Consider the following 15729-nt stretch of genomic DNA (forward strand, 5'->3'; position numbering starts at 1 on the left):
TCGGCCTGGACAACATGGTGAAACCCCATCTCTACTAAAAATACAAAAATTAGCCAGGCGTGGTGGCAGGTGCCTGTAATCCCAGCTACTCAGGAGGCTGAGGCAGGAGAATTGCTTGAGCCCAGGAGGCAGAGGTTGCAGGGAGGCAGAGGTTGCAGGGAGCCAAGATCACGCCATTGCACTCCAGCCTGGAAGACAAGAGCGAGACTCCACCTCAGAAAAAAAAAAACAAAAAACAAAAAACAAAAAAAACCATGATGCATTCAGTGCTTGAACCTGGGAGGCGGAGGTTGCAGTGACCTGAGATCACACCACTCACTCCAGCCTGGGCAACAGAGCGAGACCTCCATCTCAAAAAGAGAAACGATGATACATTCAGGTAGTGCTTGAACACTGCTTGCTGGTGGCAAACATATGACTGACTCGTCCTGCAAGGTCTGTGTATCCCTAACAGCAGAGTTGTGGGGATTAGCAGACCCACAGCCCGGACACGGGTTGAATTGAGATTCATGCTACCTTTGTGTATGGTGAACCTGTGTGCATGTGCAAAATAACTAAAGAGGAAGGATGAACAGGAAAGGCAAGGATGAAAACCCAGCTTCCACAGGGGAAACATCTGTGAATTGTAGCCAGGATCTGCTGATACTAGTCATTTGAGAATCCCAAGATAGATTATCCTCTCACTCTGACCACACTGACTGTCCACAATGATTGTGCTTTACGTGTGCACAGCACTCAACAGCTTAAGACGTTGCGGGAAAGTCCCCGAACGCTTTGCATTCAGCCAGGCTCCAGGTTGGGCACAAACCCTATAGCAGAGAGCTGGCCCAGGTGCCATGCCATCCTCACAACAATCCTATGAAGTAGGGACTGTTATTTTGCAGAGGAGGGGATTGAAGTACAGAGGAGTTAAATACCTTGCCCCAAGTCTCGCAGCCAGGAGTAACCAGGTCAGGATTCTACCCCAGAGCCCACACTCCAACCCCTCACCATGTTGTCACCCCACTTACAATAATGAATCTCTGCACCTCTGCATGGGACAAAGAGGGAAACTGAGTCTTCCAGGAGGGCTGGGCACTTGAGGCCATCCTGGCAATGGTCCCACCTCCAGCCATCCTGGAGGAGGAGCGAAGCCACTGCGTTGAGTGCGTGGGTGCAGTGGGCCAGCCAGGGAACAGGGAGGTAAAAAACCAAGGGGGCACCTCAGCTCTGAGCTGGGCAGGCCAGGCCCCACCTCATGCTTCCTCTGCCACAGCAGTCCCAGGCCAGGAGGGCACCTTGCCAGGCTCCACTGCCACCCAGAACATGGCCTCCCTGTCCTGGTCTGGGTTCTCCTCGAGTTGTATTTCCATGGCAGCCACAATGGGCAGCAGCCAGGGTGAGTCAGGCCAGGCAAGAGGAAGTGGCCACACTTGAAAATTATTAACATGCAGGGCTGAGCTTGAGTCCTTTGTTCTTGAGCAAAGACTGTAGCATTTCACTTTCAGGAAGGAGCTAGGAGGGTGGGGCAGGCTCAGAATTGCACAACCAAAGCACAGGCTCAAACACACACAGGTCCCAGGTGGAAGTCAGCTTAGACAGGCCACCTGCAGAAAAGTGCAGGCCAACCCACAGCCCCATACAGCAGGTCCACAGAGAAAATACAGGCCAACTCATCTCCACTGTTTTTTAAATCAGAGGCTGGGCACAGTATATGAAAACCTATATAATCCCAGTGCTTTGGGTGGCTGAGATGAGAGGACCACTTGAGGCCAGGAGCTTGAGACCAGCTTGAGCAACATAGAGACCCTTTCTCTACACAAAAGGAAAAATTAGCTAGGCATGGTGGTGCACACCTGTAGTCCCGGCTATTCAGGAGGGTGAGATGGGAGGATTACTTGAGCCCAAGCGTTCAAGGCTGCAGTGAGCTATGATGGCTCCACTGCACTCCAGCCTGGGTGACAGAGAGAGAGACCGTGTTTCAAAAAAAAAAAAAATCAGAGAGGGTTTCCAACAGGGATAAAATCAGGGTTTTTGTGGTCAAAAGTGTTCCAAGTCAGGGAGACCAAGCAAAGGAGGCACAAGGCCGGCCACAGAGGGAAGGATGGGACTCTGGGCAGCCAGACCCCAGTGGGAGCCCTGCGTCTGGGAGAGATGAAAGACACCCCCTCACCCCAGCTGGCAGGGGGCAGCCCCAGCTCTAGGAAGACTGCCTTCCTGCACCCCCTTGCCAAAAGATGGCATCTCTCCTCCAACCATGCAGCTGTCCTGGCCCCCCTACCCCACCGCGTCTCCTAGGTGAGAAAAACACCCATAACCATCCTCACGGGCACCCAGCAACCCTGAAACACTGTGTCTCGGGCAACTTTTCGAGCTGCAGCTGTTCCCTGAAAAAGTCACACATCAGCCACCAGGAGTGGTGGGAAAGGCTGAATTCTGGAGAAGAGGGATGAAGGTTGGGGAGGTGGGAGGGAGGGAAGGGAATATGGTCACCAGAGGAAAAAAGTCAATCAACGAGGAAAAATCTGTTTCTAAAAATGTAATGCAAACAACAAAAAAACAGGCTTTGAGCAAGCCTTATAAGCCCTGGGGCCCAGGCCTGTCCTTAGTTCCCCGGGAATGGCCCCTGCTCCCCGTCCCATTTCACAGGGGTCATCAAGAGGCTAAGATTTCACTCTGCTCCCCTCCTGCACTTCAGGAGAGCTTAACCTTGAGGCCTTCAAGGAAATTGGGAGAAATGGGACCCCTGTCCTTTGGCAATTACAAAGTAAATGGCCCTAGGGGCTAGGCGTGGGGGGATCGCCCTACCGTAGGGGAGTGGGGGGGCCTCATTCCCACCCTTCCTCGGCTCTGCAGGGGTGGCTGCAGCAGAGGTGGCTTGTTCAGGGAAGCTACCTGCTCCATCCGTGCTGGGACCACAGGGGCAGGCCACCCACCGGGTCCAACTCATCCCCCTACCAAAGCAGCTCTTTTTGTAAAGGGCTTTCGGGGACAGGAAGCAATAAACAGAGTCAAGCGGCCAAGATGCAGGGGCTGATTATACAGTTTACGGATTTTCCAGGCCTTTTTGTACTCTCCCACCAGCTGCCCGGGGCTCTGCAGAAAAAGGTGCTGGAGAAAGACCGGCTGGTCCCTGGCTTTACAGGTGGCCTTTTGCCAGGCCTAACTGGGCCTTCCTGAGCGAATGAGGGGGCTGCATGCCTCGAGGGTCCTGCAAGTCACCATGAAGAACACTGCCACCCGGTACCACTAGAGACCAGCAGGCTAATGGCTACAGCTTCTCTCTCTCTCTCTGACACACACACACACACACACACACACACACACACACACACACTCCAGCCTGCTGCTCAACTCTCCACCCAGCTCTAAGTCACTCTGGTATTCCAGAGGGGAGGGGATGCCTGGCTGCGCGCTGCCTGCGTGCTGAGGCCAGGTGGGTGGCCCTCCTTCACAAGGAAGCTCACAGCTCAGCTCAGTTTAGCTGCACTGGGGGTGGCAAGCAACTTGGGAAAGACTGAGGCTGGCGGGGAAGATGGCTCTGGGCTGGAGGGCCTCCCCAGTGCGTGCTCAGCTCACATTCCCCAAACAGGCTATGATCTGGTGAAACACAGGCCCACGCGTGCAAAGCCGTAAATGCAGAGCTAAAATGGGGAACCACCCACTTGTCTCTCAATACCCCATATGCAACAAAAAACACAGGGCACATCCACATGCAGCCAACACCTTCCAGTGCCAAATAGAATCGCATGAAAAAAACCAAGTGGCCAGGCCATGTGTACACCGTACCATTTTTGTTCAAATGTCTGGATGTCCATGTGTACACTTGGGTACACACAGGAAGACGTCTGGGTGGATATGCACCAAATCCAAGGCAGCAGTTACCTAAAAGGAAGGGTTGTGTGGGGGCAACTCCTGCTCTTTGCTTCATGTACCTCTGCAACCTTTGGTGTTCTTACAAGAAATATGCCTTGTTTCTGCAGTTTAAAATAAGATATTAAACAAAATAAAGTTCATTGTTGGTGGCAATGTAAAATGGTACAGCCACTATGAAAAAGATAGTGAAACACAGTGAAAAACCACAGTTTGGTGGTTCCTCAAAGTTAAACACAGAATTACCATATGCTCCAGTGATTCCATTCATGGGTATATAACCCAACAAATTGGAAACAGGACTCAAATAGGTAATTGTACATCAGTGTTCATAGTGGTGTTATTCACAATAGTCCACAGCTGGAAACAATCCAAGTGTCCATCAATAGATAAATGGATAAACAAAATGTACTCTACATATTTAGAACAATGGAATATTACTCAGCCACAAAAAGGAATGAAATGCTGACACATGCTACAATGTGGATGAACCTTGAAAACATTATACTAAGTGACAGAAGCCAGACATAGAAGTACAAATATTGTATAATTCCACTTATATGAGGAACCTAGAACAGGTAAACTCATAGAGACAGAAAGTAGAATAGAGGTTTCCAAGGACTCAGGGAAGAGGGAGAATTGGGGACTTATTACTTAATGGGCATAGAGTTTCTGTTTGGGATGATAAACAAGTTCTGGAAATGGATAGTGGTGATGGTGGCACAATAATGTGGATCTACTAAATGCCACTGAATTATACGCTTAAAAATGGTTAAAATGGTAAGTTTTATATTTAGTATGTTTTACACAAGAAAGAGAGAGACAAATAAGGCACCAGATTGTAGAAGACACCATGAGTCAGGCCAGGTGCGGTGGCTCATGCCTGTAATCCCAGAACCTTGGGAGGCCAAGGCGGGTGGATCACCTGAGATAGGGAGTTCCGAGACCAGCCTGGCCAACATAGTGAAACCTCGTCTCTACTAAAAATATAAAAATTAGTCGGGCGTGATGGCGGGCGCCTGTAATCCCAGCTACTTTGAGGCTGAGGCAGGAGAATCGCTTGAACCCAGGAGGTGGAGGTTGTGATGAGCCGAGATCATGCCATTGCACTCCAGCCTGGGCAACAAGAGTGAAACTCTGCCTCACAAAAAAAAAAAAAAAAAGAAGACACCATGAATCACCATCACCAGGCAGAAGGGGGCACTACTCGGGCTATTTAGAGAGAGGGCAGCCAGCACACAGGAAATCCTGGCCTGCACAGAGGGGCTCTGTCCCCATCTGCATGGAGTGGGCTGGGAGACAATGACACCCCTGTTGACGAGGGCTGTTCAGATGGCCTGCAGAGTCACGCATGCCACAAGGCTGGGGGAGACAGCACTGCAGGGATACTTTGTGGACATTTGAAATCCTTGCGTTATGATACGCTAGGAAACAGTATTTTAAAAGGCTAGTGTGCTGGAAAACGAAGCATGCATCAGGGAACCTTGGACAGGAGGGGACTGGGGAAGAGAGATACTGGAGGAAGTGGGCAGGAGAGGCTGGGAGAAGAGGATCAGCAGTCTGTCCTAGAGGACCCTCAGTCAGGCTGGATCATTCACTCCACAGACGGGAGCATGCTCCCAGGTTCAGGGTAGTGGGAAAGTGGGGGTAAGGGATAAGAGGACCCTATTTACATCTAGTAAATACCTCTGTACATCTTCAGTACCCCCACAAATCTTGTTCAAAAGTACATACTGGGCCAGGCGCAGTGGCTCATGCCTGCAATCCCAGAACTTTGGGAGGCCAAGGCAGGCGGATCACTTGAGGTCAGGAGTTCGATACCAGCTTGGCCAACATGGTGAAACCCTGTCTCTACTAAAAATACAAAAATTAGCTGGGTGTGGAGACAAGCGCTTGTAATCCCAGCTATTCAGGAGGCTGAGGCAGGAAAATTGCTTGAACCCGGGAGGTGAAGCTTGCAGTGAGCCGAGATCACGCCACTGCACTCCAGCCTGGGCAAAAGAGTGAGACTCAAAAAAAAAAAAAAAAAATACTGTACCTATCTAAAATGAGAAAGAAAAAGCTGCCAGTGCACCCCACCCCCCAATTCTTGCAGAAGGCCCAAATTCCTGTGACTTGAGGCCAAGCCATAAGATCCAGAATAGGGAATAAGATAAAAACTGCCAGGGTGAGCTGAACACCGTTGTGACTGGACCTCGTTCACACACGCATGCCCACGGGCCAGCCACCAGGCATCAGGTTCTTTTTGAGACGAAATCTCGCTCTGTTTCCCAGGCTGGAGTGCAGTGGCATGATCTCGGCTCACTGCAATCTCCACCTCCCAGGTTCAAGTGATTCTTCTGTCTCAGCCTCCTGAGCAGCTGGGACTACAGGTGCTCGCCACCACACCTGACAAATTTTTGTATTTTTGGTAGAGACGAGGTTTTGTCATGTTGGCCAGGCTGGTCTCAAACTCCTGACCTCAGGTAATCTGCCTGCCTAGGCCTCCCAAAGTACTGGGATTACAGGTGTGAGCCACCGCGCCTGGTCATCAGGTTCTTCTTGAAGGAGAGAAGCACAGAGGAGCTTGGGCACACCCAAGTAGGGCCCCACATGCTGAGAACTGTGATGCCAAGACAGGCTTCCCAGGGGCACGGTTTCCTGAGGTTTAGCCACATATCTCCAATCATGCAAGGGCTAAGAGAAGCCTTGTGTGGGGCACATTTGTGGTCAGCGGCAGCTCTGCCTCACTTGAGATAACGATATTTAAAGAGTAGATTTTTTAATAAAAGGATGTTGTATCCAGGGGCTTCCTGAAACATGCCAGGTATTATTTGTGGCTGTGTGTGTGCATTTGTGTGTGTGCACGCATTAGAAAGAAGACAGGTAGCTTTGAAAGATCATAATGTGACCAGGTGCAGTGGCTTACGCCTGTAATCCCAGGACTTTGGGAGACTGAGGCAGGTGGATCACAAGGTCAGGAGATCGAGACCATCCTGGCTAACACAGTGAAACCCCGTCTCTACTAAAAATAGAAAAAATCAACTGGGTGTGGTGGCATGCACCTCTATTCCCAGCTACTCGAGAGGCTGAGGCAGGAGAATCGCTTGAACCCAGGAGGCAGAGGTTGCAGTGAGCCAAGATCGCGCTACTGCACTCCAGCCTGGGTGACAGAACGAGACTGTCTCAAAAAAAAAAGGAAGATCATAATGTAGCCACTATGGCTGTCTCAGAGACCTACTTCTTCTAGAACCTACTGTCCAATAAGGTAGCCACTGGTCATGTATGACAATAAAAATTTTAATTTTAATTAAAATTAAATAAAATGTATTTATTTGTTAATTTTTTTTGAGACGAAATCTCGTTCTGTCATGGCGAGACGGGGTTTCACCACGTTGGCCAGGCTGGTCTCGAACTCCTGACCTCAATCTGCCCGCCTCAGCCTCCCAAAGTGCTGGGATTACAGGCATGAGCCACCGCACCTAGCCTAAAATTAAATAAAATTTAAAATGCAGTTCTTTGGTCATACCATCACATTTCAAGTGTTCATCAGCCATTATGGTTAATGGCCATCATATTGAACAGGACGTATTTTAGAACATAAGCCCTGATTCACTATAACTGGAAGAGCTTTATTATGACTTTCTGAGGGAGACCAAGGACTATGGATGGTCAATCCCCAGCAGAGGAGCCCTTCCACATCTCCTGGGCAAACAGAGCTGGGGTGAGCTCTGTGTCCTCTCATCACTGAGTCCTCAGCCTCATCCAAGATCAAAGCGTTGGCTGTTTCCTGTGAAACTTCACACCCAGGCAGAGAGAAGCTGGGGTCCAGCTGGGAGCCTAAATTCTGATGTCCACACTGGCAGGGCCCAGGCCTCAGAGGACCAGGCTCAGAAAGGCTTTCCCAGTTTGTCTCACCAGGAGGAAGGATGTCTTAACATCCCCAGGCTCCTCCCCTGTTCCCTGTCCTGAGTGTGCAAATGCAAAACTGCCTCCTTGGGCTTCTCCAGAGCAATGGGGAGGAGTCAGAGAAAAAGGGCAGCTGAGGCGGGGTATGCATGTGTGTGCGGGTAGACAGCAGGTAAGTGCATATCAAAGAGAACCCAACGGTCAGGCTGAGGAAATAACCGAAAGAGGTTCTAGCAACACAATGACTGGGTGTTTGGTTCTGGTTTTGTTTTGTTTTGTTTTGTTTTAGAGATGGGGTCTCTCTCTTCTGTTGCCCAGGCTGGAGTGCAGTTGCAGGACCATAGCTCACTGCAGCCTCAAACTCCTGGGCTCAAGCAATCCTCCTGCCTCAGCCTCTTGAGTAGCTGGGATCACAGGCACACGCCACCATGGCTGGCTCCCTCCATCCCTTTCTTTTCCTTACAATTTCTGTGTTGAAGAACACAGGCCATTCAATGGCAGCCTTCTCCACAGACTGGAGTTCATGGAGTAAGTTTTTTTTTCTTGCTAAACCTCAGTGACCTCCCCTGCTCAGCCCATGGGGCCCCTGTGACAATAAAAAGAAAAAGTACACCTGAAAGCACATAGGGAAATGCTTACGATAGTTTAAGCAAAGAATACAAGATGCAAATGAGCACAGAATACAAATTAACATATATATGTTATGTTTTCAACCACAGAAAAAAAAATGCATAGAAAAAAGGATCAAAAATATATATGCCTAGGGCGGGGCACAGTGGTTCACACCTGTAATCCCAGCACTTTGGGAGGCCGGGGCAGGAGGATCGCTTGAGCCCAGGTGTCTGAGACCACCCTGGGCAACATGGTGAGATCCTGTCTCTTAAAAAAAGAAAAGAAAGGAAAGAAAAAGAAAAGGGAAAGGGAAAGAAAGGAAAGGAAAAAAGAGAAGAAAAGAAAAAAGAAAAGAAATATGCCAAATATATCAATAACTGTCCTGGATGGTACAACTCTGTGAACACCCCCTTTTTCTTCCTTTCTTATATTTTTCCACAATTAGCATATCATAATGTGATCATGAGGTGACAAGTCTTCTTTAAAACATTTCAAAGAAGAGTGCCCTTAAAGTCTGGCATGAGACCCAGTGTGTCACCAGGCCTTCACAGTACCCCCTGGCTTTGCTCTGTTACCATGGCCACCACCAATCCAGCTGAGACCCTCAGCCTCCCAAGCCCGCTTCCCTGATGCCTTCAAGCTCCTCTTGCCGTCTCCCTCCCATTTTCTCCCTATGCCACCAACGGAAGAGCAGGCCAGGTCCCCTCCGAACTCCTCAGTCTCTTATGTAAAGATCACATCCCTCCCTCTGCATCAGCGGTCCTCATGCTCAGCAAGCATCACTGTCACCTGGAGGGCTGGTTAAACACACATTGCTGGCCTCCACCCCCAGAGTTCCTGATTCCCTGGGTCTGGGGTGAGGTCCAAGAATCTGCTATCTAACAAGTTGTTAGGCGATGCTGGCACCACTGGTCCAGGGACCACACCTGTCTCCCTAACTAAGCCCTGTCCATCCTTCAAGACCTCGCTCAAGTTCCCCTGTCCCATGAGGCAATCTCTGAGAACTTCAGCCAATATTGATCTCTCTCTTCCCTTCCAGAGCACCTGTTCCTCTTAAGGGTGGTTTGGTAGATGGGGAGATCACTTAGCGGCCATAATCAGGGGCAGTGTAGCACTTCATCACCTGCTGTCTTGTGTGGCTGGCTCTCCTTCATCCTACCAGCTCTCTTTTTTCTTTTTTCTTTTCTTTTTTTGAGATGGGGTCTTGCTCTGTCACCCAGGCTGGAGTGCAGTGGTGCAATCTCAGCTCACTGCAATCTCCGCCTCCCAGGTTCAAGCAATTCTTCTGCCTCAACCTCCCGAGTAGCTGGGATTACAGGCGTGCGCCACCACACCTGGCTAATTTTTGTATTTTCAGTAGAGATGGGATTTCACCATGTTGGCCAGGCCTGACTCAAGTGATCTCCTGATCTCAAGTGATCCGCCCTCTTCTGCCTCCCAAACTGCTGGGATTACAGGCATGAGCCACCGTGCCCGTCCCTATCAGCTCTTAAGGGCAGACTGGGACAGACATTTCTTAAGTGATTCCTCATTAACCAGGAGGCATTCCTCATGTCCCAGGTGAACTGAATCTGTTTCATTCTCAGGCACCCCAGTGACATTCACAAACAGACTTCTAATTATTCACTCGCTCATTCACTGGCAGTCAAAAAACACTTACTGAGCACCTACTGTATGTCAGGATGCGCAAGATAAAAACCTCTTTTCTTCACAGAGGCCAAGAATTACAACAGCATGAATGGCAGAAGCCTACAGAAGGTGCTCTGTGAGGATCCCTCCCAACCGCAGCCCAACGCCCCCACCCCTGGCCCTGGAGACCGCTACACACACACAACCTTGGCCCCAGTTGCAGGTGCTGGTGCCTGCCAACAAGCACACACAGTTGCAGTCACACCCTCGTGTAACCATGGTGAGGATTTGGCTGCCGGTCATAGGCTCCATTGTTCCCCAGCTAAGCCACCCTGGACTCGGGGACAGGATTTATGGGCAGACATTGTTAGGAGAACAGATGTTCGGGCAGGCAGGCCTGGGACCCGCTGGAGGGAGTCAAGAAGACACTACCTCCTAATTAATAGGCGGTAAATGTCTGAGGAACAGACTCCTGTCCCATTTCTTCAAACATCTGGGGTTCCGGACACTTAGGCCCTCTGCCAGGTGAGACATTTGGAGCAGGCTGAAGAGATCATAGATTCTGGAAGGTAGATGTTGGTTTCTCTGTGATCTTGGACAACTTTTTACTTGTTTGTGCCTCAGTTTCACTATCTACTAATATTTACTACTTAAAAAAAATAGTAAAGCCAAAAAAAAAGATGATAAAGACACCGTTTGGAAGAATAAAGGGAGAGTAAAAAACAAACAATAATAACGCCACTGTGTAAAAATAAACTGCAAAAAGACCACTCAGGGAAGCTCCATCAATGCCTTGGCAGGAAAATTCTAAACGTATACAGGCCTACCTGGCACACTGATTCTCAACTAGAGGGGTGCATCAGAATCTCCGGGGAGCCTTTTTCTTTCTTTCTTTTTTCAGAGACAGGGTCTCACTCTGTCACCTAGGCTGTATGTAGTGCAGTGGTGCGGTCATAGCTCATCGTAGCCTCAACCTCCTGGGCTCAAAAGCGATCCTCCCACCTCAGCCTCCAGAGTAGCTAGGCCTACAGGCTCATACCAGGACCAGCTGCTTACATTAAAACAAATTTTTGTAGAAACTGGGTGTCTCCGGGCACAGTGGCTCACACCTGTAATCCCAGCACTTTGGGAGGCCGAGGCGGGTGGATTACCTGAGGTCAGGGGTTCAAGACCAGCCTGGCCAACATGGTAAAACCCCGCCTCTACTAAAAATACAAAAAAATTAGCTGGGCGTGGTGGCAGGTGCCTGTAATCCCAACTACTTGGGAGGCTGAGGCAGGAGAATCGCTTGAATCCCAGAGGCGGAGGTTGCAGTGAGCCAAGATCACGCCATTGCACTCCAGCCTGGGCAACAAGAACAAGACTCCATCTCAAAAAAAAAAAAAGGAAAAGAAACTGGTCTCACTATGTTGCCCAGACTTATCTCCATCTCCTGGGTTCAAGCACTCCTGCCTCAGCCTCCCAAAGTGCTAGGATTACAGGCATGAACCACTGTGCCAGCCTCTGGGGTGCTTTTTAAAGAAAAAGGCCCATGTGTCTTTGTCAATTCTACTGAATCAGAATTTCCTGAGGTGCACCCAAACCCCATCCCCAAGATCCCAAGTAAGTCAAAGAGGAGTGCAGGGAGGAGCAGAGGCTGCAGGGGCTGTAAAGCAGGGACAGGGCCCAGGGACTCTAGGGAGGAGAGGTCAACATTGAGCAACCCCTCATTTCTGCCCCCCATCCCAGGGATTTCTAGCGAGGAAATATCATCCTTCTCGTCTGAACTGACCAGTCCTCCAGGGACCTGCTGATTCACACAATGCATGGCTGTGTCCTGGGCCACTCCTCCTTCTGGCCACCACTGGCCAGCACCCCACCCCAGCATACTTTCCTGACCCTGGGTTCTAACTCCTTGGCCCCAGAAGCCTCACCCTGGCCAACTGCAACTCTTTATTTCAAGGATTCAGGTTGTAGATCTCCTCCTCCAGAAAGTCTTCTCACATGCACTTCTTGGCTCACTCCCACGTGGCTTTGGCCTATTGAACCCTCTCTCTCCTCCACCATCAATGTGGCAGCACTAGTCACATGTTCTCACGATTGCCACTGTGCCCGTTGGTGGCCCCAACAGATGGTGCCCACCTGGAAGGCGGGATTTTTTGGATCTCATTCAGTTCTCGGTCCCTAACAACCTGCTCAGTGCCCAGCATAGAGCAGGCAAGGAATATGTCTATTTATGTTGATCAGAAGAAAGGGAGAGGAGGAGATTTTAAATCAAACAGTTATCCTAGGCACATTTTTCAAAACTGTAGGAAAACTATAGCAAATACTTGTATTAGCATGTCCTGTGTGCCAGAGAGAGAAGCCTGAGACACAGGGGGTAAATAAGTCCACAGGGTATCTCTGCTTCAAAGAGAAAAAGAGTTAAACCTTGGGGGGTCGGGAGGAGCTACCTCTGAAGTCCTTGCTCCCTGTGCCTTAGAGGTCACAGTGACTCCATAACTTCACCCTTTGGATAAAGCACAGGTTCAGGTTGCTGTGCACAGGGAGGAGCAATATATCTCGGCAGGAGGTCTCTCTCAATGAGGTACCAGGGATCCTGTTGCATCCATTTGGGAGGGTCTGGGAGTCAGCAGTCCCAACTGGGAGCTCCTGGAGCTCGATTTAGAAAAGGGACAGGGATAATGCTATCTGGGGCCTTGGCATGAAAGGGCTTTTCTTTCCCATGTCCAGACTCCCAGGGGAGAGAGAAGGGTTCCAAGTCTCCTAGCCTGATGGTTTGAGAGAAACAGAGGGATGTGGCCTGCACCTGCCCCACCTGGCCTCTCTGGGTCCAGGATCAGGCCAGGGAGGAGGAGGCCCACTAATCCTGGGTGCATTACTCAAGAGAGACTGTGAAGAAAAGCAGGAACTCTGAGTGGCATTAAAGTAGGCAGGAAATAAAATTTATTCAGAGTCAGCTAGTGTAATTGAAAATGAACCATATGCCAGGCACTTGGCAAGGTGCGTCCCCACAGTCTTGATTTAATTTTCACACCAACCCAATGAGGCAGCTACTATTCTCCTTGTTTTACCAACAGGAAACTCAGGCATTGTTCTGCTGGAAGGAGAGAAGGCCAGGAGGCAACCCTCAAAACCTGGGTGTGTTTGGCCAAGGCCAAGTAGAGATTTAAGGGTCTTCGAGTAAAGCATTCAGGATTCTTACTCTTCATTTGCTATCTTTCTTAAAGACAGAATAAAATAAAATGGGATTTAGGTTGGATTCCAAAAAAAACTTCCTGACTATAAAGAGGTATTAGAAAGTTCATTTCCTAGGACAGATCCCTGAAAGATGCAACCACATCAAATGCCCACTCTGCAGGCAGGAGACTGGACAATTTGACATTTACCACCACAGGCACGCTCAGAGGTCCCCTCAGGCAACTGGGCTCTAGCTCCCATCTCAAGTGAGGCTTGTGGACAATGCAAAATCTAAAGTCAAACACATCCTTTGCTAAATTTAACAAGCAGATAGGCATAGCGTTCAGATATTAAAATGAAGTCTTTTTTTAATGAATGGGCAGGGCTTGGAGTTTGCCAATGTCATCAATGAGGTTAATGTGGCTACGTTAAAGTTAGCACATGAGTTTTGGATGATGCAGTTTATCAAACCAGCAGGGACTGAGCAACAGCTCAGGCAGAAAGTTGGCGCCTGGCCTTAGGGAGCCCTGTCCGGCCTGGGTATCCTTGCCCACGTGCCACAGCTAAAATGCTGGTAGGACCTCGGGGACTTAAGGCAGGGTTGCTGCTACCCCCGGCTGTTTGGGCCAACACTTGAGCTCCGGCCTGGAACAGAAGGCTCCCTAATAGGTTGTTAAGAGCCTGGGAAGGCGGAACAAGCTGGGCGGGGAGGAGGGGGCCTCAGGGGGCTGTTATGATAAGCAAGAGCTCAGTCTAAAGACATGCTCCCAAGCTGAAGGTTTCATTTCCTGCCAGGCAACTCACCCGTTTGAATCAAACACAGAATTTAGTATTCACCATAGAACAATCATATGACAAAAACTTTGCAGAGTTTACCCAGATGTAGGTTTTCCTTAAGGTAAAAGAGGAGTCATATTACCGAAGCCTCATCTTCTCACGAGTTCAAAACCTCTCCAACCTCTCAGGAGAAACCAAGGGCCGGAAAGGTTAAAGGCCTCACCCTCAAGGTCCCACCAAAGAATCGAAGCTGGTGCCAGCTCTCCGACTCCTACCCAGCAACCCGCCCCAGGTGGCCAGCAGCTGCCTCTGAGAATGCAGAAGGCCGAGGGGGGCTGAGAGTGTTTCTAAATCACAGCACACTTGCTCCATCCCGATGGCCTTGTGATGCCTGAGGCATGAGGGCAGGCCAGGACAGGAGCCATGCAGCGGGGTCTCCCACCCCAGGCCCTCCAGGCCCCCAAAAGGCTTCCTGTCAGGCCCTGCACTGCCCCCTCCTCCCACTTTGATCCCAGAGAGGGGAGGGGGTGGAGAGTCCAGAGAAGTCCCCACTTGGCATCGATTTGCCCAAAGCAAAGGCAACACAAAGGCTGCACCTGTTTCCATGGAGATGCGACGGGGAAGCAAAGGAACAAAACAGGGAGAAACACAAACCCGTCACCACCTCCCAGGCCAGTGTGATCGATGCTGGCAGACCAGAGCCCTGACAGGAAGACAGCGGAAGGATGAAAGGTAATCAGTGGATCTAGAAGCCACACTGGGAGCCCTTTCAGGCCACAGAGAGGAGGCCAGCAGCCTCGCCCACCCCCAGGCTCACAAACTCGCCTGGGCCCCGCTCTCGAGAACCAGTCCAAGCAAAAACTCCCAGACGGAAATCCACAGTGAGCACTTACTTTACAAAAGGATTCCTTGCTTGACTAAGGGATTCCTTCAAGCAGCAAAATCCCACCTGGAGTGCACTGTCTGTTTTATTTCATTATTCACTTCTCTGAGCAGGAGGAGGAGGGGGTCAAGGGAGTAACTTCCAGGGGAAAGTTTGTGAGAAGAGATGAGGGGATGGAGGGGTGGGGACTGGACTCTGTTCATAAAACATCTCCTAGGAGAGGCCCACAAGAAAATGGAGACGTGGTGACTTTAGAAGAGAAAGGTGAGCAGGCTAAGCGCCTGAGGCCCATCCAATAGGGAGGACATGGGAACCTGAACAGTGGAGAAGAATGGGCGGCAACAGGTGTCCCACTAGGTCCCTGAGGTTGCCACAGGTCCCATCAGGGCACACAGGTGCTCTCAAAACCACTGGGCTATGGGGAAATGTGGGGGCAGCCTCATCTCCCCCAGGGCAACAAGGCCAGTGGCTTGATGCCTCCCCGGGTGAATGTTGGAGGAAGATGACAACAAGAGGCCCAGCAGATGGCAGCGGCTCAGAGGCTGTCATAAGGGCCTCTTGACTGGCACTCATTGTTCATCAGGTGACACATACTAAGTGCCACTTAGCACATGTGGTCATCCTGGGACGAAGGGGCAAGGCCATGCACCAACACAATCCTGCCCTTGGAGAGTCTCAACCAGGCCTTCACTCCACGGAGTCTCTTCCTGACTATAATTCTTACAGGGAACAAAAACCAAGGATAACAATAATACTTACTGAGCATGCCATGTGGGCCTGACACTAACACTTGTCTCATTGATCCTCTCAACCATCCCATGAGAGAGAGGCCTTTCTTCTCCCCATTGACTGATGTGGAGACAGGCACAGAGAGGTAAATAACTCACCCAAGGTCACACAGCGAGTAAGTGGCAAAGCTAGGATTCAAA

The 15729-nt window shown here is 50.2% G+C and overlaps 1 protein-coding gene and 1 long non-coding RNA gene across 7 annotated transcripts in view, besides 4 other annotated features; one reads left to right on the forward strand and one right to left on the reverse strand.

The window, feature by feature from the left end:
• The window catches only part of CUEDC1 (CUE domain containing 1), a 94170-nt gene that overhangs the window by 40733 nt on the left and 37708 nt on the right, over nt 1–15729 (reverse strand). Inside the window, exon 1 of one of the 6 annotated variants that reach the window (NM_001292025.2) lies at nt 1011–1414. The exons of the other annotated variants lie outside the window; for them this stretch is intronic. The gene's annotated coding sequence lies outside the window, so the exon portion shown is untranslated. Of the gene's footprint in view, nt 1–1010; nt 1415–15729 lie in introns of those variants that run through there. 6 annotated transcript variants of the gene reach the window in all.
• Nucleotides 206–255: an enhancer, noted in NCBI's record as "active region_12450". NCBI's record gives its function as "activates an Ori minimal core promoter by ATAC-STARR-seq in GM12878 lymphoblastoid cells {active_cell/tissue: GM12878}" and the evidence as "EXISTENCE:reporter gene assay evidence [ECO:0000049][PMID:35858748]".
• Nucleotides 1586–1655: an enhancer, noted in NCBI's record as "active region_12451". NCBI's record gives its function as "activates an Ori minimal core promoter by ATAC-STARR-seq in GM12878 lymphoblastoid cells {active_cell/tissue: GM12878}" and the evidence as "EXISTENCE:reporter gene assay evidence [ECO:0000049][PMID:35858748]".
• Nucleotides 1806–1885: an enhancer, noted in NCBI's record as "active region_12452". NCBI's record gives its function as "activates an Ori minimal core promoter by ATAC-STARR-seq in GM12878 lymphoblastoid cells {active_cell/tissue: GM12878}" and the evidence as "EXISTENCE:reporter gene assay evidence [ECO:0000049][PMID:35858748]".
• CUEDC1-AS1 (CUEDC1 antisense RNA 1) lies at nt 10203–14341 on the forward strand. The gene is made up of 2 exons (XR_001752948.2): nt 10203–10506; nt 13041–14341. It is a non-coding gene; the product is annotated as a CUEDC1 antisense RNA 1 (long non-coding RNA).
• Nucleotides 11843–12343: an enhancer, noted in NCBI's record as "H3K4me1 hESC enhancer chr17:55991179-55991679 (GRCh37/hg19 assembly coordinates)". NCBI's record gives its function as "activates a minimal SCP1, AML or CMV promoter by ChIP-STARR-seq in naive H9 embryonic stem cells {active_cell/tissue: H9 hESC(naive)}" and the evidence as "EXISTENCE:reporter gene assay evidence [ECO:0000049][PMID:30033119]".

This window comes from Homo sapiens, chromosome 17 (assembly GCF_000001405.40).
Source record: "Homo sapiens chromosome 17, GRCh38.p14 Primary Assembly".
In the NCBI taxonomy this organism is placed as follows: domain Eukaryota; kingdom Metazoa; phylum Chordata; class Mammalia; order Primates; family Hominidae; genus Homo; species Homo sapiens.